At 34.7% G+C, this 25,542-nt stretch overlaps 1 protein-coding gene across 5 annotated transcripts in view; it reads right to left on the minus strand.

Annotated features, from left to right (window-relative positions):
- Window positions 1-25,542, minus strand: part of CDH10 (cadherin 10) — a 157,879-nt gene that overhangs the window by 16,209 nt on the left and 116,128 nt on the right. For 4 of the 5 annotated variants that reach the window (NM_001362460.1, NM_001317224.2, NM_006727.5 and 1 more), the window contains 3 exons: window positions 8,019-8,206; window positions 6,258-6,511; window positions 1,804-1,940 (listed from right to left, as the gene is read on the minus strand). In NM_001362460.1, coding sequence (NP_001349389.1) covers window positions 1,804-1,940; window positions 6,258-6,511; window positions 8,019-8,206 — 579 coding nt within the window. The remainder of the gene's footprint in view (window positions 1-1,803; window positions 1,941-6,257; window positions 6,512-8,018; window positions 8,207-25,542) is intronic. The other variant, NM_001317222.2, reaches the window with a different exon arrangement.

The raw sequence follows: 25,542 nt of genomic DNA on the forward strand, positions 1-25,542 counted from the left end.
GCTTATTTTAAAACAGGTCAAGAGTTGCTCTACACCACATACATCACACCATGGGAATTAGCAAATTTGAACAGGTTTGCATGTACATGTGCTGGCAGGGCTGGCTTCATGGGCCTGTGACCCAAGCAGTTCCACAGGGCCTTACCCTTAAAAGAGACTCTTGCATGTTTTAATGCTCCATCTCACATTTCTTAATTTACTTTTAACAAGCACCTGACATTTTCATTTTACAATAGGCCCCATGAATTGTCCTAGTATGGGCAAGAACTTTCATTACTAGAGACAAATGTGGTTTGAATCCATCAGGTTTTAGTGAATAAAATTTTGTAAATTAGCTATGGAATTAAGTAATGAATCTAGAAATGACATGGTTTCAAATCTCAGTTGTGCTACCTCTGACATGATAACTTTGGACAAGTTACTAAAGTTCCCAGAGCCTTAGTACCTTCTCTGTTAAATGAGGTTAATAAAAATATTAGAAGAAAATAAATTCTTTTTTTTAGAATGACACCTGGCATATATGATTAAATGTGAACTCTGATTAACAATATATTCCTGGGATTCCTCATCTGTAAAAGAGAAGTAGTAATATCTACCTACAGGCTTGTTCATAAGATTAAATGGTATCATATGCAACCAGCATTTAGCATAGATCCTAATTATTAGTGTGCAAGTGACAAATTTAATGTTTTTAATTTTTCCACAAATGATAATATCTTTAGTCTATAATTCAAGCTCATTTTTATTAGTTAATATTAAATATACATTTATATATACGGAAAGGTGGCAAAATATGCCATTTTGGCATAAAGATTATTTTGAGTTAAAGGTACTCAAAAAAATCCCGAAAAACAGCAGATGTAAGAAGGGTGCTCTGCTCCTCCCCTTTTCTTCCTGAAAGCAGGACATAAAACCCCCATATAGAAGATGTCCTCTCTATACCAGAAGAAAAGTAACATTCTTATCATCAAAAATGGGAAGTGAGGCCAAGAAAATTCCATACAAGTGATTCAGATTTTGTTAACAAATTTTTATCTTCATTTATGCTCTCCATATACATTTAATTACTTTTTCACTATTGCCTTTCTTTGTCATCCTAGTATAAAAACATTTCAGTTTTGCCACTTCATTGGGTCTTTCTTTGTGAGAGCTCCTGTGTCATGTAAAATTTATATTAAATGCTTTTCTCCTATTAATCTTTTTTTTTTTTTTTTTTTTTTTTTTTTTTTTTTTTTAAGATGGAATCTCGCTCTGTCGCCCGGGCTGGAGTGCAGTGGCGCGATCTCGGCTCACTGCAACCTCTGCCTCCCAGGTTCACGCCATTCTCCTGCCTCAGCCTCCTGAGTAGCTGGGACTACAGGCGCCCGCCACCATGCCCGGCTAATTTTTTGTATTTTAGTAGAGACGGGGTTTCACTGTGTTAGCCAGGATGGTCTGGATCTCCTGACCTCGTGATCCGCCCACCTCGGCCTCCCAAAGTGCTGGGATTACAGGCGTGAGCCACCGTGCCCGGCCTGTTAATCTGTTTCATGTCAATGTTATTTTGAGGCTCAGCCAAAAACTCCCAAGAAGGCAGAAATAAAATTTTTGCATCTTCTACCAATATGTATAGGTATCCCTCTATGCACTGATGTAAGAAATATTGAAAAAAAGTGTAAGTGCTGAGAAAATTAAAATTCATCTGTCCAATGAGAATGAATTATTTTTAATGTAAAATAAAACCTATAAAATATGTTAAACTGCATAAAATATATAAACATAAACATATCTAGATATATGTTAGATACATAAAATTCATCTTACTGATTTCAGCAGCAATAACAGTAAGATTATGCCACTGAGATAGTTCACGGTCAAGAGGTTTTGATGTATAAAGAGATCCATTTCCTGAATGAATGTTAAAGATTCTGTCAAGGTCAGTATGGCGATCCAAGGAAAATCTGAACATGGAGGGCAAGAAAAAATACATGGCAGCATTATTAATAGTTTGCAGGAAAAAATAGTGAAATGCAAACCCACACATATCACTGATAATTACAGGAAAGAACACAGTGCTGATCTGGAATGTAGATTGTTTGAATGACTTTTCCTAGTTGCACACACACATTCTCCTCAAGGCATAAATTGGTACTGCTCTGCATTTCAATGCTATTCTTCTGAATCCTTGTGTTATTTAAATTGTTGTCTATTGTCATATTCATTCAACTGACTTTGATATATTTGGTCACAAAACAGTTGGAATTACAGACAGCTATATTGCCAACTGACTTTATTCAGTTATTGGAAGTTCTGCTGAAGAATAATACAAAGATTTATTGCAAAAGATTATTCCCAGAAGCTATGTGTTGTTCTTAGAAAATTGGAGACAATGTTAGTTTCATCAAAGTAATAGACTATCAACTTATTATGGTGTTTAGCAGCTTCATGATATAACACCCACGTAGCTTCAGTTTCCTAGCCATGTGTATCATTATTACACATATTGCTTTTAACTTGAGATATTTTAAAAATAGAAAAGTCTGGATGGCCGGGCACAGGGGCTCACGCCTGTAATCCCAGCACCTTGGGAGGCCCAGGCAGGAGGATCATGAGGTCAGGAGTTCAAAAGCAGCCTGACCAATATGGTGAAATTCCGTCTCTATTAAAAATACAAAAATTAGCTGGGTGTGGTGGCACGTGCCTGTAGTCCCAGCTACTCAGAAGGATGAAGCAGGAGAATTGCTTGAACCCAGAGGCGGAGGTTGCAGTGAGCCAAGATTGCGTGCCACTGCACTCCAGCCTGGGCAACACAGCAAGACTCCGTCAAAAAAAAAAAAAAAAAGGAAAAGAAAAGAAAAGTAGTTTGGGATAAGAGTTTTTAATATATCTGTGTTTTTAATATATCTGTATCAAATAAAGTCTATATGCATTTGAAAAACAACAGCAAACTATCCTGCAACTTGATTGCCAGCATGGTACGCTGGGCATGATTTTAAAGCCTAAAACTAGATTAACATTCTGGTTGATGTAGTTTAAATAGATCCCATTATCTTTATCCAACTACATATCTAACATTCATGTATTAAGAAAATCATTGTGTCTCTCCACTTGGAATAATTATTTTATTACCGAAAGATCTAACATAAATTTCACCTCTTCCCTGTAGCCTCTCATGATGATGTAAAGTGGAAGCATTTGTCTCCTTCACTCATAAAGCAGATTTTACCACCATCTTTCCATTTACCACATTGTGTTAGGAATGAATTTCATCTCACATCTCAAACAGACAATAAAACATGAAAACACCAAGCCTCAAAGTCTACTAGTCACTCAATGAGTATTATTTGATTATCATCCTGAGTCTTCTTTTCTAACAGACTAAGAACTCCTTGAGAAACATGTTAATATCTGATATGGTGATCCACAAATATTTGTTAAATGAAAGAAAGAATGACCTAATTAATTGGCATTTTGGCAAATAATAAGGTTCCTTACTTCTGTAGAAATATGACATAAAGTTGAAAAATATAAATCAATAAAAGCGTCTGCTGTCATGCATCACTGATTTTGCTAAATCCATTTCATGTGTGTTCTTTCTGAATTAATTCTTGTAGTTCAGAATGAAGAAGTAATGACAAAATTTTGAACATTATGTGGCATTATCTTGCAGATACACAGAGATCACAGCTCTTTTTCAAATATGATTCAAAGTATATAGTTTGCAATTCTGTATTGGAAAGTTATGTGTGTTAACTTCCATTTTCCTTTCTAAAATAATTTCCAGAACACACATTTTAAGAAAATCCCTTTGATTACTGTATTAACATTCACAAGATATGACACAATTTATAGCATGTCAAGTATGATCCTTCCCATAACAACATATTGCATTAGTAAGGCTATTATATTTTTTAAATATATATATTCTATCCAAAGAATGACATCCAAGAATGTTCATTAAATTTCCTACATCAAATTAGTATAAAGTCAAAGTATACAGCAACTTAATGGCATACCCTCAGTCATTGATAAGCAAGGGAGCTATTATTTTTGCTATAATATGTATAATATTATACCTAAGAGTATTATAATATACATATACATAATAGGAATATAATATGTATAATAATATACACAAGATGATTCTTTCCTCCTAGTCTTTAGACTTGCATCCTCATTAACTATTTTATTTTAAATATCCACAGATATATTTTGACATATAATAATTATATGTCCATAGGAGGATTTAAATTCTATTTCATTGTGTGGAGAAATATCTTGGTATTACACTTTAAGTATGCCACTTGATATACATTTAGATAACAATATTATATTTTATTTTGTAAAGTCTATTTTAAAATCTGAAACACAGAAGACAGCCTGCTAAACCTTAGAATCTCTACCAAGAAAATGCTTGGTAAATATTTAATGAAGAAAATTAGGCCTGTGTATTGGTTATATAAAACTTTCAAAGGAAAAAGAAAAAAAAACACAAGGAATGCAGCAATACAGTTGTTGGTAAATGAATTGGGGAAGAGGCATTTATGGGAAAATCATGCTGGCATGTACAGGTTTCTTCTGCCAATATGTAACCTGTGATGCTGTGTGTGAATATAAGAAAACATATTTATGTGAAATTATAGAAATAAAAAGTAACATAGGTATTCATAAAATACATGATTTCACTTGAAGATATCGCAGACCCTATAGAATTTTTAACTGGTTGAAGTCATATGGCATATAAAATTAGAAGTTTCCTGCATGCGCTGTGGCATATGTAGGAGAAAGGTAAGAGTGCGCTCAGAAAGTGAACAATAACCATCTGAACTCATACTTGACTGGTTCACATAGAAAATGAGCAAGGAAAATTAGCCTGCAGAGATTTAGAAAACAAATGAAATCCAAAATACAAAATGGACTAATGGATTATAGTAAGTGTTCATTTTCATGCTGAATAGTGTATGTCAATATATGTATTTCTTTAAAGTAATAGAACAAGTGTCATTGAAACATTGATTCTTTTTCATTTTCAGTTTATCACATCTCATCTGTTTTTAAGCTGTCATAAGAAGGAAAACAAGAATTGAAAAGACTCATCTTTCTAGAATGTTCTCATATTTTTTGAAAAAGGCAGAATAAATAAATAAACATAAAACAGAAACCTCTCAACTTTGATGGCTGTGCATTAGGGGAGTTTCTAAAATCATAATATAACCCACATTGCAGCATTGCAATTACTTTTTTCTTTTTTTACAAAGACAGGGTGTTGCTTTGTCACTGGAGAGCAGTGGTGTGAATGAAGGTCATGGCAACCTTGACCTCCTGGGCTCAAGTGATCCTCCTGTCTTAACCTCCTGAGTAGATGGGACTATAAGTGTGCACCACCATGCCTGGCTAATTTTTTAATTTTTTATAGAGACAGGGTCTCAGTATGTTCCCCAGGCTGGTTTCGAACCCCTGAGCTTAAGCAATATGTCCAACATGGCTTCCCAAAGTGCTGAGATTACAGGTGTGAACCAGCACATCCAGCCTACTTTATAATTTTAAAACTTCTCTCATTCAACCTTACATTTTATTTAATAACTTGAAAGCACAAATAAAGTAGTTTGGTTGCATGTAAACGCAGAGTTGACATAGCACCCTGGATCTGTACTAGGGATCAGAACAATAAACACCGTAAGGAGACAGGCAGGTGTAACAAGCAAGGTTTCAGTCTAAAGGGCATGATGAAAATAAGAAAACCATGAAGCTTGTGCATGCCCTGGCCCAAAAACATTCAGAGGCAATTTACTAGAAATGCCTGTGCTCACCATATTTGTATACAACTTATGGAATGACTCTTGTATCTTCCATCGCATTAAATGTTTTAAATAGAATTTCTTGATCTGTATATGTATTTCAACTGCTTTTTTTTTTTTTTTCATTTTAAACAACATTTTGTTCTCCTTTTTCCTTTTTTTTTTTTTTTTTTGAGACAGATTCATCTCTGTCGCTCAGGCTGGAATGCAATGGCACGATCTTGGCTCACTGCAACCTCTGCCTCCCGGGTTCAAGTGATTCTCCTGCCTCAGCCTCCTGAGTAGCTGGGATTACAGGCACGTGCCACCAAGACCGGCTAATTTTTTGTATCTTTAGTAGAGACAGGGTTTCACCATGTTGGCCAGGCTGGTCTCGAACTCCTGACCTCGTGATCCACCCGCCTCGGCCTCCCAAAGTGCTGGGATTACAGGCGTGAGCCACCGAGCCCGGCTGTTTTCATTTTTAAAAGGCACACTTACCTAATGGGGCTGGAAATAGAATCTGGGTCCCTTGCCATTACAGTACCAATGATTGTGCCCACTTCAATATCTTCATGAACTTCAAACAGATAGGAGGACCTACTAAAAACAGGAGGTTCATCCACATCTTCTATAGAGATTTTCACTATGGTAGTATCTTTAAATGGTCCTAGGTAATAAAAACGGGGATCTACATGGGTGTTTTCTGCTTCGACTTTCAGAGTATAAAGTCTTCGGCTCTCATAGTCGAGTGGCTGTATAAAAAAATAAATCATCAAATTAGAGTGAGGGAAATTGGATGATATGCTCCCACCCAGTTACAGTATGATTTTTAAGTTGTGGTTGAGTTCTCTTACATAGTTCATTAATTATAAATAAAAAAGACTAACACAAATAATATAATCTTCATGTTTCATTTAGGATTCAACTTCTACTCTTTATGCATTCAATTAGTAAAACTTCGGAACATAGGAAATTGAGACTTTAAACCTTGGAAAAATTGGGATGGAAGCTGAAACCTATTTTAAAGGTGGTACCATTACAAAAAATGGGCTAATGGATGTTGCATGTGTTTGCGTGTGAATGTGCACGTGCAAAGGTGTTAGCTACTGCTAAATTTTTCTAAGTAAATACATGCAGTTATCTTTTTACATCTATGCTGTGATGTTTCCATTCAATGTAATGGGCTTATGATATTATAAAAACATTATGAAATCTTGGAGACTAATATACAACTTTCAAGTTATGTCCAATATTCAAGATAAGAAAAACCCTCTGTAATAAGAAAAAATTTTGATAGTAATTTGGTAAATAGGTTACATGTTGAAACAAAATACCTTAAATATTCATATAGTTTAACTGTCAGAAGTATAAAATCAACTATTTTCTATCTCACCTATTCTGAAATGTATGTTTTGTTAACAGATAAATGATATTATTAGTTCAGATTCCCTCGACCTTTTATTTTTGTTTCAAAAAGAACAAGATTCTATTTGTATTACTGCTGCTGTCTGGTCTGAAAAATGACAAGACAGCTGCTTTCCCATTTGCTAGTCACTGTCCATTTAATAACAGTTGGTTTTGTACTTTGTACCTTGCAAAAGTATCTCAGAATAGTTTAATTATTAACTAATGCTTGTGTAGTTACTCTATGTATGGCATTTCATTAGGACCTAAAGTTTAATGTGCCTTATTTTTTTCTCATAATGATGGCACTTATGCTACAATAACAAACAGGTTACCTTTAGATTGTATCACTGAGCATATGTTAGCAGAAGAGTTTAATTTATACAGCAGAAGGGAAAATGTGAACAATTAAATTATGTTCCAATCCATGCTGTCTCTTTTATTAGTAACTCTAATTATTGCTTCATCATCTGGATAGATGGCATTGGACTTTTTATACCCCCAACTGGGATGATATATTGCCATTATTAGGTATTAACTACACAATTTAAAATAAAACAATGTGATTATGATGGGCTTTTATTAATGTGGCTTAGAAATATGATCACACATATATTAACTTGCCTTTTATATTTTCTAAAGTTTCAGGTTTCCTGTCTCAATCAACCAAAACATGTGGTCAAAATTTTCAAGGAGCTCTTTGGCTTTATGTCTTTCTTATGTATGCACAGTATAAATTACATTGCTGGAAAATTAGAGTAGTATTTCCCAATGGATCATTCATGAGCGAAGAGTATATAATGCAATCCCTACTCCTGAAACACACAGATGCTTATTTATATGGATGCTGTGCACCTTTTTCACAGTGATGATGCCTTCCTGTGTGTCCTTCTCAGTCACGATGTCAAACATATCAGTACCGTCACCATCAATAATTCGGTATTCTACTTCAGCATTTTTCCCAGTGTCAGCATCAGTTGCTTTGACACTTCCAATGGCTGTGCCAACTGGGGAGGATTCAAGAACTCGAAGATGAATAGTGTCTGTAAAGTATAAAGAAAAGAAGAGAGAGACAGAGAGAGAGAGAGAGAGAGAGAGAGAGAGAGAGAGAGAGAGAGAGATTTCTCAATAGAATAGCCAAAAGCAAAACATGTAAGACGCAATATAATAGATCTTAAACTCTAAATCAGATGTTGACAAATGATGAATACACATAACATGGATAACATTAAGGTCTAGGAACTTCCGGGGCTTTTGTCTGCACATATTATGAATAGTAAGAAACAAATCCTAACAGTAGGACAAATTCTGGTTTAAAAATGAGTATGTTCATAAAAAGAAACGAGTTCATATCTCTCGCAGGAACATGGATAGAGGTGGAGGCCATTATCCTTAACACACTAATGCAGGAACAGAAAATCAAATGTCACACGTTATCACTCATAAGTGGGAGCTAAATGATGAGAACTCATGGACACAAAGAGAGGAACAACAGACACTGGGGCCTACTTGAGGCTGGAGGGTGGGAGGAGGGAGAGGATCAGAAAAACAATAATTACTGGGTACCAGGCCTATTACCTGGTCTATGAAATATATATCTGTACAACAAACCCCCGTGACACAAGTTTACCTAAGTAACAAACCTGCACATGTACCCCTGAACCTAAAATAAAAGTTAAAAAATATTAGCATGTTGTCTCTTTATTTTATTTTATTTTATCTTTTGAGATGGGTGTCTTGCTATGTTGCCCAGGCTGGTCTGAGCTCAAGCTATCTTCCCATCTTAATCTCTGGGATAGTTGGGATTAGAGACGCAAGCCACGCACCAACCAAGCGTGTATTTTTTCATTGCGTAGATCTGCTTTGAGGGCAGATATGTATTTATGTGTGTTTACACAATCACAACAAACCACAGGATATACACTGAATGTTTCTATGTAGTTGTTTTTACTATGCTATATTTAGTTATTTACTACTCATACTTATTTCAACTGCATGGCAGAACATTACAAAATCCAATGAAATCAGCCATAATGGGTAGGAATCCTATTTCTTACTTGTGACAGCAGGAACAAAGGACAGTCTGTGGAAAAAATATATAGATGCCCTTTGCAGTGTCAGAGTGAAAACACTCAATACTGACAAACTCCCCTTCATTCCAGAGAAACACAAAAATTTATGTTTTTGGTGTACCTAGATGTGCTTCCAGCATGAACAACCTCTACTGCTAATGAGATTTATGTTTCAGCACCTGATCATAAACTACATATTTCTGATGGATTAATCAACCTCAAGTACACTCTGATTATAGCACCTTCTTGCTCATAAACCTTAAGTAATTCTCCTTAATATACATAATAAAGTCCAGACCTCTTAGCTTGTCACAGTCTTGCCTGAATATGTCTCTCCTATATCATTTTGCATTTAGTCACTTCCATGAAAGATATGGACCAAACTGGGCTTTTCAAAGTTTTCTAGGCAAAACTTAATTTCCTATATTACTATTTCTTCTTGCTTTCTCTCTTTCTTTTCTTTTCTTTTCTTTCTTTGTTTCTTTTCTTTTTTTTTCTTGATGGAGTCTCAGTCACTCAGTGCTGGAGTGCAGTGACATGATCTTGGCTCACTGCACCCTTACCTCCCGGGTTCAAGTGATTCTCGTGCCTCAGCCTCCTGAGTAGATGGGACTATAGGCACCTGCCACCACACCAGGCTAATTTTTATATTTTTAGTAGAGACCGGATTTTACCATATTGGTCAGGCTGGTCTCGAACTCCTGACCTCCGGCGATCCTCTCACCTCAACCTCCCAAAGTGCTGGGATTACAGGCATGAGCCACTGTGCCCGGCCCCTATATCACTATTTCTATATTTCTCTCACATAAAATTCCTTCCCCTTATCCTCATGTTATCATAATGCAGTTTACCAAATCTGAGAAAATGACACTGTTCAAAGCTGACTGTTTGTTGGGCTATGCCAAGCCAAGGAGAGAGGCTTCAGAAAAAATGAGCCAGCAGACACCTTGTTCTCAGGATTCTAGTCCCTAGAATTGGGAGAAAATACATTTGTGTGGTTTAAGCCACCCATTCTGTAAGACTTTGTTGTGGCAGCCCTAACAAATGACTACAGGCATATACATACGCTACATGTTGGAAGTCATTTCCTAAGAGGCATCATTAAAACTCAGTTTCCATCACACTGCAGTTGGTCCCTTAGCCTGTATCCTTCATTTTTTCTATCTCCGGTAACACACCACTGAAAGCAACTCTCAATTCATTACTTTGCTACCATCTTATTGGTTCTCTTTGCCTTTGCTGATTCTTCTTGGAACACCTGTCCCCTGGATATTCTAATGGCTCCCCTGTTCTCTTCCTTCAGTTGTCTGCTCTATGGGGACCTCCTCAAGAGCTTTCATTAATAGCTTAACTGAAAATAGCCTTATCAAAAGTAGTGCTCACAATCACTTCTCCTATCATCCGTCATCACCAGGCATTCTATTATCTACTTACTTATTTGTATGGAACATAAGAATGTAACAGAAAACAGGCACTTAGCATTTTTATCTAAGAGTTCATCTGAGTGTAGTAGCCACCATATCATTATTTGTATATTATTTTATACAATAAAATAAATTATTTGTGTATTGTACATTGTATAGAAGCTTCCTACCTAGTCTACTAGCTCCTATGCTTGGCCAAATCAAATCAATTCACACACACTCTTAGTCCACATTGTAGCCGCATTGCCCCTTAAAAACATTCATATTATCAAGCTTTACTCAGAGTTTCAAAACTCTTTGATTGTTCCCATTATACTTAAAAGAAAATATCCACTGACTGACCCGTCATAATTTAGATCCTCTGTCCTGTCAGTTTCTCTCAAATTAATACTATCCAATTATCTTGGTCTCTTTTAGCTTTGTCACACAAACTTTTCCTACCTCAACACTTTTTCCTTCCTTATGAAAGATTTTCGACACAACTCTGCCTGATAACCACATCCTCTTTTAATATAGTTCACTATGATTCTACCACAGCACATCATAAATTCTAACCTGTTGATTGCAAGAACTCTCTTTAAAAAATTAAATTTTACACAAGTGGCACTTCAATAAATGAATTTATTACTCCTTAGCAAAGGTGACCTTTCTAAAATACAAAAATGATATCACTGCCCCAATGAAAGCACTTATTGTTGATGTTAAGTGTTTAATTTCATTTGGTGTATAAAGTCTTATAAAATTTGATTTCTGCTAAAATCTTCATTATTACTAGTATCTATTCTCAAAGCTAGAGCAAATAGGAAATGCAGCCACAATATTTTTTTCAATTAATGAGTTTTCAATTAAAAATTTTAAATATAAGGAATATTTAACAAAACAAATACAAATATATGGATGGTTAGATTGAGATATATATATACAACTTGAATAAATCATTTAGAGAGTACAGATTCTTTCAGAGCTGGCATGAAACATTTAATCCAATCTAACCAAATACTAAGTTATTACACAAGTTTAAATACATTTTAATAAACCACATTCAACTAAATATTCTGACCATGCCACAATTAAGTTAAAGGTTAACACAGAAAAGATAAACTCAAATCCTTGTATTCCTGAATATTTTAAAAGAATAAAATTAAAAATAACAGATAGTATCAAGATTGTGACAGTTAGAAAATATTACCAACACTTATGTGCTAATAAAATTGAGTACTTAGCCTTAGTGGAAAATTCCTAAAAATAATTAAAAATATACCAAAATCTACAAAAGAGAAAATCAAGTATGTTTTAAAATATTCTACCCTTCCAAATCCAAAGAGTTCAAACAGTTTTCAAGGAATATTTATGGAAAAGAAAATTCCAGTCTTATGCAAAGTGTTCTTGAAGAAAGAAAAGTGGGGCTCCTATCATAACTCATGAGAATGGTATTACCCTGATATAAAACCAGACAGGAGAAGAAGAGTCCAGTGGACGTATAGTGTGGTCAAAATTCAGGCTGTACCACATGGAAATGTATAATATTTAGTAAGTTCATTTAAAAATGTTTCCGTTTACAATCACTTATGTAAAGTTTAGTTTATTACAAACACTATTCTAATCATTTTACTACTAACTAAATTCCTGACTTTGTTCAAATTTCATCTTGCCATTAAAGTCATTCTTTTCTGGAGATCTCACTTTGCATTTGACTGTCATGTCTCCTCACTCTCCTGCAATCTGTGGGAATTCTTTAATCTCTGTCTTTCATGGCTGATATGGTTTGGCTGTGTCCCTGCCCAAATCTCATCTTGAATTGTAGCTCCCGCAATTCCCACGTGTCATGGGAGGGACCTGGTGGGAGGTAATTGGATCATGGGAGCGGGTCTTTCCAATCCTGTTCTGGTGAGAGTGAGTAAGTCTCATGAGATCTGATGGTTTTATACAGGGGAGTTTTCCCCTGAGCAATCTCTTTCGCCTGCAGCCATGTAAGATGTCCCTTGCTCTTCCACCATGACTATGAGGCCTTCCCAGCCATGCGTAACTGTGAGTCAATTAAACCTCTTTCCTTTATAAATTACCCAGTCTTGGGTATGTCTTTATTAGCAGCATGAAAACAGACTAATACAATGACCCTGACACTTTTAAAGAATACTTGTCAAGTTACTGTGCAGAATCTCTTTCAAGGAGGGCCTGTCTGGTATGTTCTTGTCATTAGATTAAAGTTATGCATTTTTGTCAAGACTATCACTGAATCAGTCTGTTCGTAGTGTATTATATCATAGCAGGGAGTATCCGATGTCAATATGTCTTAGGACTGATGATTTTAAGTCAATTAGGTGTTTCTGCCAGTTTTCTCGTTTGTTAAGTTACCATTTTTTTCATAATTAATACATATCTTGGTGAAGATATTTTGAGTGTATGCAAATATCCCATTTCTCCTAAAAAAATGCCCACTAATTTTAGCATCAATCAGTGATCTTACTGGCAACAATTAATACCACCATTTACTAATAGTGATTTTCAATTTTTTTTCATTCAGTTCCACATTTATTATTTGAAATTCTTCTACGAGGAAAAGCTGCCCCTTCTCTCTCATTTATTTTTACTTATGCTTTTATTTATTTAGATCAGTATAGATTCAAAAACATTTATTTTATTTTATATTATTTATTAGAATCTAATAATATGGTTATTTATTGTTTTCTGCAAATCCTTCTAGATTCAGCCATTGGATGATTTTTTTAGGTTGGCTCTGGTGCCTTTCAACATGTCTTCATCATTCCTTCAGCAAGCTTCCTTAATTTCTGGCATCACAGAATGTTCCAAGTTCATCTTATATTTTTTGCGCCTAAGCCCTCAAATCAAACAAGTTTCCATATATGCCTGGTTGCTTCTGCTTGAGAAAGAACCATAATTGTTTCATATAGTGCAGTATTAAAAATTAAAAAAATACATAACTCTTGCTTCATAATGTCTAAATATGTCAAAATATGTACATGAAAGTATTTGTATTTGAAATAAATCTAATTATGTATTGAATATAAAAATCTAAATAACAGCAAGTTATTGTTAACATGTTAATTGACTTTCATTTTAGAAATCAACATATCTGCATCCTTGAAAAGGAATTTTGAAATCTATGATTTTTAATATTAGTATTTAAGACTTTTCAGCAAAAGAAAAAATTCTCTACAAGAATAAAATGAAAGTATTTACATAGCAACACTATAACATTTGAACTGATTATGCATGCTTTTTGTAAATTTATATTTGTGAAGTAGTCGCACATTTTTGTTTAATCATTATTGCTCAAAAAGGTCTACAATTTCATTTCTTGGCGTGAAACACAATTCTAACGCCCAAACACTGGTCAGTAATACCACTGTTTTCACATTGATATAAACTAAATTTTCTTAGAGATTTGCTGTTTCTAAGTCTGAAGAATTGAAGGGAAAGTGGGAATAGGATTTCTTCTTGAGAACAAAATTAAGTGAGATATCAAAGATTAATGGGATCACAGAAACATACAAAGAAACCAATTGTTGCCTCCACTGGCCAACATTTAGAAAATTTGATAATCAATAGGAGAATAATAATTCAGGTGATTAAAATACATTGAATCATATTTGTTTTTGACAATGCAAGCTAAATAATTCAGTTCAATATCTTAGTGACAAACAATTAATATTTGTGGATTATATGTAAAGATAAAGATAGTTGAATGAAGGTAGTAAAAAAAACTCAAGTCCAAATTGAAGGGAAATGAGAGCCTAGAGAAGTAAGTGAAAAGCTAAAAGTTTTTTTGGCCTGGGGATATTTTCCATTTTCACAACATTTATCTTTATTTTTATGGCCTCTTGAAGCAAGGAGGGGATAGACCAAAATCTAGGTTATCTACAAGGTTATTTACTGAAGCCGCAGATAGACTCCACAACAAACTAAACCTAACGAGTTTTCACTAGGTTTAAGGGTGATCCAGATGTAAACCACCCTTGACAACATTTTAGATTTCGTAGTGTAGGCTCAGATAACCCTGGTAATATCTATTTTTACAGACACAGACAGCTTTAACTGCTAGGGGAGAGGGTGACACTGTGGTATCCACAATGGATTGGGATGAAGGATCACAAAACAGTCTAAAATTACTTGAGGGAGATTCTGTGTACAGACAAGAAAACCTCTAAGCTTGTCCTAACTAAGAGGACGTTTCCTGGCTGCTTTTCCACATACCTTTTTCTCTCAAGTGTCTTTTGCAAAAGTGAGGCACGTTAATATCTCTGAAACGTTTATTATATAGCTCAGTGAGAGTATAGTTGTAAACATTTAGCTCATAAAGCCAAAAAGGAATGAAAAATGATGGCATTAGTTACCCTAAAATATAGAACAACACATCAAACGCATGTTGGAGACAGAGACAGATATATATACACACACACATATATATGCACGTATACACATATTCACATATGTATATATGCACACAGATAAATATATTTATATATACATGCATATACATAAATACACGTAAATATATGAGTGTATATATACATATGTGGATATATAATGGACAGTTTTACCAAGCTAATAAATCTTTAATATTTTAATGGAATACCTTATTCACAGTCTTTAGTAAAAATAAACTTTTGAAATTTTCCACTGAGGGCAAATTCAGCCCTGCCACAATGTTGCAGGTTTCCCTGCCTCCAAGATCACAAGATCTCCCCTTTCAATGAATATCATGTTTTTTTCCCTGTTCTCTGCATGTCTCAACATAATGCTTGCACTCAAAAATATTAAGTCATATCTGTATATTAATAAAGTTATTTTATTGCAAAAGGCAGCTTTGACCTACATCGGAGAAGGATTACAGTGAGATGGTAATTTCTAAGTTTATCTTGCAAGGGACTAATTTTGATTTTTTGACATGTGCACTTTTTTTTTTTTTTTTTTTTTTTTGAGACAGAGTCTTGCTCGGTCACCCAGGCTGGACTGCAGTGGTGCGATCTTGGCTCACTGCAACCTCCACCTCCTGGGTTCAAGTGATTCTCATGTGTCAGCCTCCTGAGTAGCTGGGATTACAGTTGTGCACCACCATGCCTGGCTAATTTTTGTATTTTTAGTATAGATAGGTTTTTGCCATGTTACCCAGGCTGGTCTCAAATTCCTGGCCTCAAGAGATCCACCTGCCTCAGCCTCCCAAAATGCCGGTATTACAGGCATGAGCTACTGTGCCCAGCCCACATGCAAAATTTGAGTTAAAAATTCTCAGTCTGCATCTTTTTTGGTTTTCACCAGCAATCCTAAATTTATAAAATAATTTTAGCAAAAGTTTAGTTTATAAAACAATATAGATCAATATTTTAATGATCTTCAGTTTGAAAGGGATTTCTAAAACAACAAAATTTAAAAAGGTTGATAAATCAGTCTATACTCAAACTAAAACCTTCTATAAAATAAAGACAATGTGCAGAAAGTTAATCATTTTACAAATAAAGAGAAGAAGATAGTTTCAGCACACATACTTACAAATACAGTATGTTTAAAGATCCCTAAGAAAAGGCAGAATAACCTAGTAGAGAAATTAGTCAAGGATGTTGATAGAAAACAACTTACAGTGGAGGAAACATGAAAGATCAATAAACAGAGACAACTACCCTAAAATTAAACCAGGCAAATGCAAATTAAAGCCAAGACGTGATACCATTTTATACTTATGAAATTAATAAAAGTTAAGTCTGACAATCCCAAGTGTTAAAAGTATGTGGTAGAATAAAAACTATTATGTAGAATTGATGGATGTTATATTTGACACAATGACTTTGGGAAATGTAATTTCCTAGAGCTGCTGTAACAAAGTAACAAAAACTAGGTGGCCAATAACTATAGAAACATACTGTCTGAAAGTTCTGGAGGATACAAGTCTGATGAGGACATACTCAGAGAATCTTCCCTTGCTGCTTCTGCTACTGGAATTTGCTAGAAAGTCTTGGTGCCCCCCAGCTTGTAGCTGTATCACTACCATTGCACCCCATCTCCTCCCTGTGTGTTCACTTGGCCTCCCCTATTTCTGTGTCTTAATTGCTCCTTTTCATAAATATACCATTCATACTGGATTACAGCTTTAACTCTAATAACCTCATTTTAAACTATTTTCTCTATTTCCAAATAAGCTCAAATTCTGCGGTACTGGAGGTCAGTAATTTGACATATATGTAGACATAGGTCATATAGAATTATTGTTTGTAAAATGAAAAAAAGGAAGTAAACCAAAGTGTCAAACAGCATGAGAACAGATGAATAAATCATTGTATAATCACACATCTCAATGTAATATAAAAGCAAAAAATGTGAGCTATACTTATATGGAAAAATATGGGTAAATCTTGGGAACATATCATTGAGTGAAAAAAAGCAAGTTTCAGAAAATGATGTACAGTGTGATACTATCTTTATAAACCTCAAACAAGAAGAGCTCAATATATTTTTTAAGAATACATACATTCTACTATGAATATATATACACATAGTTACATACACATACACCTCCCCAACTCCGTCCCTTTCTATATTTATCAGTCTCAATGATCAGATACTATCACACGGTAATTAACTCTGGACTATCTAAAAGGAGAGGATGATATATGCACATGTAAAGTATTCTTAAAATCTTTGTAATGTAATTTTTCAGGTGGCGCTACTTATAGTCTTTTGTATTTATTAAACACGACTAGAAAATTTAAAACAAACAAACACATATACAACACAAATCACTTTTTTTTTGTTGTTTTTTTTGAGATGGCATCTCAGTCTGTCATCCAGGCTGGAGTGCAGTGGAGCCATCTCAGCTTGCTGCAGCCACCACCTCCCAGGTTCAAGCAATTCTCCCATCTCAGTCTCCCAAATAGCTGGGATTACAGGCATGTGCCACTGCACCCGGCAAATTTTTTTTTTGTATTTTTAGTAGAAATGGGGTTTCATCATATTGGCTAGGCTCCTGACCTCAGGTGATCCACTGGATTCGGCCTCCCAAAGCATGAGCCACCGTGCCCGGCCACAAATAATTTTCAAGTTGAGAATTTAAAGTATGGGTAGCATTCCTGGCACTCAACAGAAGCAAACACAGTTCTGCTATATAAGATTTAACAGGAAAACAAAAAACAGAAAAGCAACAAAAACTCAAACTCAAACACCCCCAAAACAAAACAACCTCTAGCTGAATCCGATCAACAAAACGGCTAATGTTGGAGTCATCAGATGCAGAACAATCCACATACAAGCTCACGCTAAATATGTTTAAAGAAGTAAAAGTGGGCCGGGTGTGGTGGCTCATGCCTATAATCCCAGCACTCTGAGAGGCCGAGGTGGGCGGATCACCTGAGGTCAGGAGTTCAAGACCAGCCTGACCAACATGGAGAAACTCTGTCTTTACTAAAAATGCAAAATTAGCCGGGCATGGTGGTGCATGCTTGCATGCCTGACTAACATGGAGAAACCTCCTTACAAAATTAGGTGGGCATGGTAGCGCATGCCTGTAATCCCAGCTACTCGGAAGGCTGAGGGAGGAGAAGAGAATCGCTTGAACCTGGGAGGCGGAGGTTGCGGTGAGCTGAGATAGTGCCATTGCACTCGAGCCTGGGCAACAAGAGTGAAACTCTGTCTCAAAAAAAAGAAAAAAAAATTAAAAGCATAAAAACATGACTAGACTATAACTCTAAAAAATAACTCAGCATATTTGATATTAAACCAAACTATTAAACTAAACATAACTGAATATTAAAAACATAATCATTGAAGTTAAGAAAATAATGGATGGGTTAAAAAGATTAACATCATCCAACAAGAAAATAAGTGAGCTGGAGGAAAAAAGGAAGGATGTAAATGTATTTAAAAACTGCTAAGTAGGCCGTGCCAGGTGGCTCACACCTATAATCCCAGCACTTTGGGAGGCTGAGGTGGGCGGATCACAAGGTCAGGAGTTTGAGACCAGCCTGGCCAATATGGTGAAACCCTGTCTCTACTAAAAATACAAAAATTAGCCTGGTATGGTGGCAGGCGCCTGTAGTCCCAGCTACTCAGGAAGCTGAGACAGGAGAATCACTTGAACCCAGGAGGCAGGAGTTTCAGTGAGCCGCAATTGTGCCACTGCACTCCAGTGGGCTACAGAGCGAGACTCTGTCTCAAAAACAAACCAAAAAACAAACAAAACAAACAAACAAACAAAAAAAACTAATATGTAATTGTGAGTGTTAAAAAAAAAGATTAAAATGTCACTGACATTTCAACAGCAACTCCTGATCCCACAAATTATTGAACAATATTATCAAAATTTTATGGTAACACTATTTTGAACCTTGAATGCTCACTTTAACCACCACATTAAGTGTGATAACTCAATGAAGATGGTTTTAGATTCAGCATAGTCCCTTTGGATCTTTTTAAGAAACCTAGTAAAGAATGCATTCTAGGAACATAAGGGACTAAATCAAGTTTTAGGAATGCATGAGATCCAGAAAGTTCAAATCCAAAGCAAGAAAGTAAATAAAATAAAATAAAATAAAATAAAATAAAAAAGTCTGGGATGACAGGCGTCCCTGACTATGAAGATTAGCCAGCCTGTGCTGGAACCAGAATACTGAGGGCTCTAAGATTGCATCTTCAGGTCTGCCAAATTGAAGCAAATGCTATAGGGCTGCTCACTAACAAATTTTCAGCAGCTGCCCACACAACACATCAAAAACACAAGCCTGTAATATCTTGGAAAACATAACCCTGCTAAAAAAGATCTAAAAGATTCATCAGTTGAAAATAATTACTTAGGAAATAAAATGTCTGCCTTTTTTCTCTTTGACCTTTGGGAGCAATGGTATGCTCTGCTATAAATTTTAGCACATGAGACCTAAATTTTACAGTTAACAGTATAGCATTTTTGAAAATTACACTAAAAAATCAGTTTGTGTCTTAAACAATAAAAAAAATTTCATACATTTAGTGCTGTAGTGAGAGTGCTCGTAGGACAGAAAGCCAAAGAAGGAGGTTGACAATGGTGAATATTAAAACAAAATAAAGGCACACGCAAAGGAAACCTTTCATAGCATGGCATTTAAATATGCAAAGATAACTAATACAGAAAACGGGGATGGGGGCAGGAAGGGAGGGTGGGGAGTGAAATTATATTTGGGGAGAACAGAATGATGGGTAACTGATGTCCATTTTCATCAATCATAAAAGCAAGTCAATGAGTAATGTATAAACATATCTCAACAAATAACAAGAAGATACTAGTTAGAAAATTGTAGCTTAATCCTAGATGAACTAAAAAGAGTAATAAAGTTGTTATCTGTGAGAATTAGAGCTATAGATGAGAATGGAATGGATGGCTTATTTTATATATGTATATATACACACACATAGGCATACATACATGCATTTAATACTCTAGTAAAAATTGTTTTTAAAAATTAAAAAATTTCCTAATGATAGAAGAAATAATCAGTTTATGATAAAAAAATTACCATATCAATGTTCTCTCCCGAAAGAGACAAAACAAAAGAAAAAAACATTCCTTTGTTCCATTAATTTTACTTTCATATGGAATTCATTGTGAATATTAACTCTGGAAATTTGTTCTCAAACATTTTATTTTTAGTTTGACTTCTTTGTGATTGTTTGATTTGTATTCTTAGGCACATGCTTAGAATCTGAAAATATGTCTGCTTTAAACTTGCCATTATAATTCTGGTCAAATATCCAAAAATTATTTATTACTGTTTTTTATTTTTCGATTGGTGCAGAGACAATATTTGTTACAAGGTGTATTTCATGTTTATGAGAGTTAGTGTTTTTCATGTTAATTTTTACTACTTTCAAGACTTAAACGGGAAAGTGATCATGCTCCACTGTTTCACATTAAAATGAATCTAAATTTTTTAAAATTTTACTGATGATACAATATAACTATATTGATGATCTATCAGTTCTTTTCCACAGTAATTTGTCTGAAGAAATATAGATGGGTTGTGTGTGTGTGCATGAATGCACATAAGTACATTAATTTTTTTCTAAAGCACACATGCATATAAACACATTTATTTTTCCCTAAAACAAAAATTGATTATATGGCAACATCAGTAATTAATTCATTCAACAAATTTATATTCAGTTCCCTACATACAGAAGTTAATCGTGCTTTCTCTGGAATTATGTTTATGCTCAGAAATCATTTTTAGGACAAGATTTATTGGGTCTATTTCAAAATTGAAAAGTGAATTTCTATATTTTAAATGTATGAAACAGTGATTCATTCACACTTTCTAATTTATTTCTAAGATGAGTCTGTTGAATAGAAGTATCCTACTTTGTCAAGCAAACTGAAATTACTAATTGAGAACCAGCATGCTCTTCCTCCAAGGGTGTTTGACATTTCGGGCAAGCAGTAGGCAGGGAACTAGAAAGCAGGCATAGATTGTTTATGCGTACACTGACAAAGGCAAATGAGTGCTTAAGTTTCATTTCTCCTTAAAGACACCTATTTGCATGCTCCTTATTTTTTTATCTTACAGTGATGAAGCTTTAATTATGTGGTACGCTTTCCTATCAATTCTAATTTATAGTTGTTTTAAATTCATTTCCAGGTGTCAGATTGAATCATCTGCTCCCCTTTTAATGTTTAGGCAGATAAATATTTCTTCCTGGTGGGTACATTCTTAGTATGGTTACCCATTTAAGCACAAAGGCATGAATGTGAGAAGGAGAGAGGTAATTGCCATTTCTATATCACATAAATAAAGTCGTATTGAAAAAGTAAAAATCTAGAAGGTAACATCGCAAAGAAAGCTTCCTAAGGACTGAGCAAAATGTGGGGCTACATAAATAAGTGCACTTTCATCCTGATACTGACAACCTCACACAACATCTGCACTGGCAGTTATTAATGATTTCAAACAATTTTGATGCATTTATGGTTTTTCACTATTTGAGGCTGATATTCCTGTTCACTTCTTCTACCAAAATTTGATCAATAGGACCTTTGCACTTGAATATTTAAAATACTGCCAATTTGTGTACAAGAGTTAAAAATAATTGACAGCTCACGTGAGTAAGCGACTTTGGAGGAAAGATATAATAGGTGATTTAAGAGATGTGACATAGTGACTTCCTTAAGAACAACAAAATGATGCCAGAAATCAACTGGGAGGGCGACAAAGGCAAACTGCTTACCTCTAGGTTTTGAGTTTAGCGACAAACAGCTGCTGTTTCTTTTTGTTGATAAAAACCAATAAAGTTCAAAGAGATATAATGTATCCTAATCCTTTATTCTCTACCCTCATTGCTACTCACATTTACATTAAAATTCTACTTCTCCAGAGTTGAGATGAAAAAGGCATCATATATATGAATCAACAAAATAATTTAACTTTAGCTTAATTTTTTTATTTGCTTTGTGTATAATCATATTGTAACATCGCTATGCTGCACGATAATCTCGAACAATACTTGCTTTAAGAAAAATGTCATAATTATGCACGTTTATAAACCATTCCATTGTATAATGCTTAAAAGATGTTTTTTAATGAGCTTAAGAGGAAGAAATTAAAAACAAGATAAAGCTCCTTGGAGGGAACTGCAGAGTAGTTAAGGAAATTATGCAATGCTAAATGGGCATTTAGGAGAAAGCAGAGGAGAGCTGAAAGTCACACCAGAGACTGAGAAACTACTGAGGCTTTCGAATTGAAGATTCTTACCAGAGGAAAGAGAGAAACCCAAATTTGTGAGCACTGGAGATACGATCATCAACTCAGCTTTGGGCATTTAAGTTAAATTAGAGCAAAACGAGATGCTGTACCATGTCTTAGTTTCCTGTTCAAGCTACTGAAGAAAGTAACTTGACAAAGCTTTCAGCGAAGCTGCCATGGATCCCCAGAGTCCTGGAAATCTGTTTTGCTACATTTCTCAAAAATGGTCTCCAAGTTAATTGGCATCAATAGATAATACACAATGGCAATGTGTAGAAACAATAAAAGCATATAGGATTCAGCGAGGTTAAGACAAACTTTAAATTAGTCACTCATAAATATATTGTCCTAGGTATTCTTTACAATGGATCTCACCTGAAATTGTAAGTGTACTAAAAACTCTGCAACAACAGCTTTAATTGTGTCTAAACAGGTTTGCATAACTGGTTTTACATCTATATTTCTAAATTTATACCTACTGAGGGATACTGTCCAAGTTGTCCTAGAGGACATCATGATACAGAAGGAGTGTGAATCCCATTATGTAAGATGCCAAGTAGTTCCGTCTAAGGCAACTTTCCACTGGACTAACTGGAATGTTCCAAGTAGGTTTTTGTATAATTTCCATATACATGATTTCTCTTAGAGAATTACACAGTTCATCACAGACGGAAAATGTGTATTTCCCCTGGTTCTGTCATGCTAAACATTTAGCCTAGCTGATATTTTACATGTCTATTTTCACTAATATCTCATTTGCACACATCAGATTCACATGCTGTATTTCACTAGCTACTAGATAGCACTATCTTTCTGCAGGGATCTCAATTCAAAATGCTCAAGTCCAGTTGAAATCCCTGTCCCTCTCTTCAACTAAACACTTCCGGTAGAAAGCTTGAAAGTATCTTTTCATTGATATTTTACCTTTTAACCCTCAAACCTTTTATCGACCTAGTTACTAAATTGTCTTAAATGTATCTCAAATTCCTCTTCTCTTCAGCATTAGTTCAGACTGCAGCAACTCTTGCTGTTCCTATCCAGCAATGTGCTTCATTGCTATCAAAATAATTGGTCAAAACAAAGAACTGTGCCTGATGCTGTCCGAAAAAAGATCTCTTAAATAATATATGCAGCATTTTATCTTTTTATTCAACCCTTTCATGATGCTAACAACGTCTTATCTCATAATCTCACCTCTCACAATCCCTGATTTAAACCAAATTACACACATTTCACTGAAGTCTGTTTTTATTCATTTTATCCCCTTTAACAACAATAACCACCAAAAATGTTCCTTCCCTCATTGCCCCTTATTTTTTTGCCTGGAAAATTCTTATTCATTTTAGAAGTAGTTTTAAATAATGTTCTTTTTCATGATTCCCTTATGTCTAAAATATTTAATTATTTAGACAATTATGGCACTAATCTTATTGCATTACTCTCCAGTTATATGTGTGTACACATTTATGTTTTGTGTATATATGTATAAGTATATATAATCATATATATTTTGTGTACATATGGATGAATATAAGTATATATAGTCATATATACTTACATAATTAAATACATATAGTCTTACATATACTTATATAAATATAGTCTTATATATATTTATATAATTAAATATACAGTCTTATATATATTTATATAATCAAATATACTTATATTTATACATATATACACAAAACATAAACATGTACACACATATTATATATATTTATATTTATACATACATACACAAAACAAAATATATAGAGTCATGTTTCACTTAACAGGGATACGTTCTGAGAAATGCATTGTTAGATAATTTTGTTGTACAAACATCACAGAGTGTACTTACACAAACCTAGATGGTATCGCTTTCTACACAACTAGGCTATATGGTACAGCCTACTGCTCCTAGGCTACAAACCTGTACAGCATGTTGCTGTATTGAATACTGCAGGCAATTGTAACACAATGGTATTTGTGTGTCTAAACATAGCTAAACACAGTAAAAAATAAGTATTGGTATTCTAATCTTACGAGACCACCATCACAATAGGTGGTCCGTCATTGACTGAAATGTCACTATGGAGTGCATGACTGTATAGTTACAAAAGCAAGCAAGAAAAAGTGAGAGAGACAATCAGTAAAAGAGAAACTGAAATGAAAAAAGGTAAATGTGTGTGTGTGTACGTGTGTCTGTGTGTATCAGAGACAGAGAGAGAGATTGTGTCTGTTTATCCTACCAAAATGCAAATTAGTTGTGAATGTATCCTGTAGGTAATTTCTTACTTTAAGACAATTACAGTTCATTTTTATTTCTTAGCACAGTTCTTGGCACATAGTAGGGCTTCGGTCAATGTTTAATACATCAATGAATGCTTTAATAACATAATTTCTTTGTAACTCCTTCAAACTATAGGCATTGGGAACATGAGGGAAAATCTGACAGAAGTTGAGGATATTTTGGTGGTCACAGTAAAAAATCACACTGTATCTAATGAACATAAATCGTAGAACAGTGCTTTTGCATGTAAGTAGGTTCATTTTTTTTCTAGATAATAAAACAGGGAAAAAGAGACATTTTTAATTTTATTCCCTTCTTTCTCATGCTGAAGCATCTTCCTTGGGGCATACCTGACAGTTGCTCTAGTTGAAAAGTGCTTGATAATTTTAAAATATGCAAATCAGCCTGGGGCCTACATTACCTTGGGATCCCCAGTAGAGGAGAGGTTGACTCTATTTACAAAGTGAAAATCAGCACTTATTAAATCAAATCTCTCTTGTACCAGGCAGGGATTATGATAGTCTCACAGCTCACTGAACGTACGTGTCTTAAATCCCTATGTATATCATATAGACATTTCCTTGAAAGACCTTGTCTCATGCAAACTTGTTTATCTGCCCAGGCAGTATAAGGATCCCAGAAAAGAGGTCAGTCGTGTTTGGTCCTTGGATATTGCAAAAGCACCAAGCAATAAAAGTATGATTTACCTGTCTCTGTATCAACATGCATACACATTTTAAGAATTCAGTGTGTCCTGCCTGAATTTTGCCCTATAATCTATGTAAAAGTAGTGAACTACAGAATTAACTAAAGTGGGATGCATCAAGGAAGATTAAATTTTTGATGTGCCAATATCTTTCTAGGTGTAGTGCTTTGAAGCACAGGCTTAAA

Source organism: Homo sapiens, chromosome 5 (genome assembly GCF_000001405.40).
Source record: "Homo sapiens chromosome 5, GRCh38.p14 Primary Assembly".
Lineage (NCBI taxonomy): Eukaryota > Metazoa > Chordata > Mammalia > Primates > Hominidae > Homo > Homo sapiens.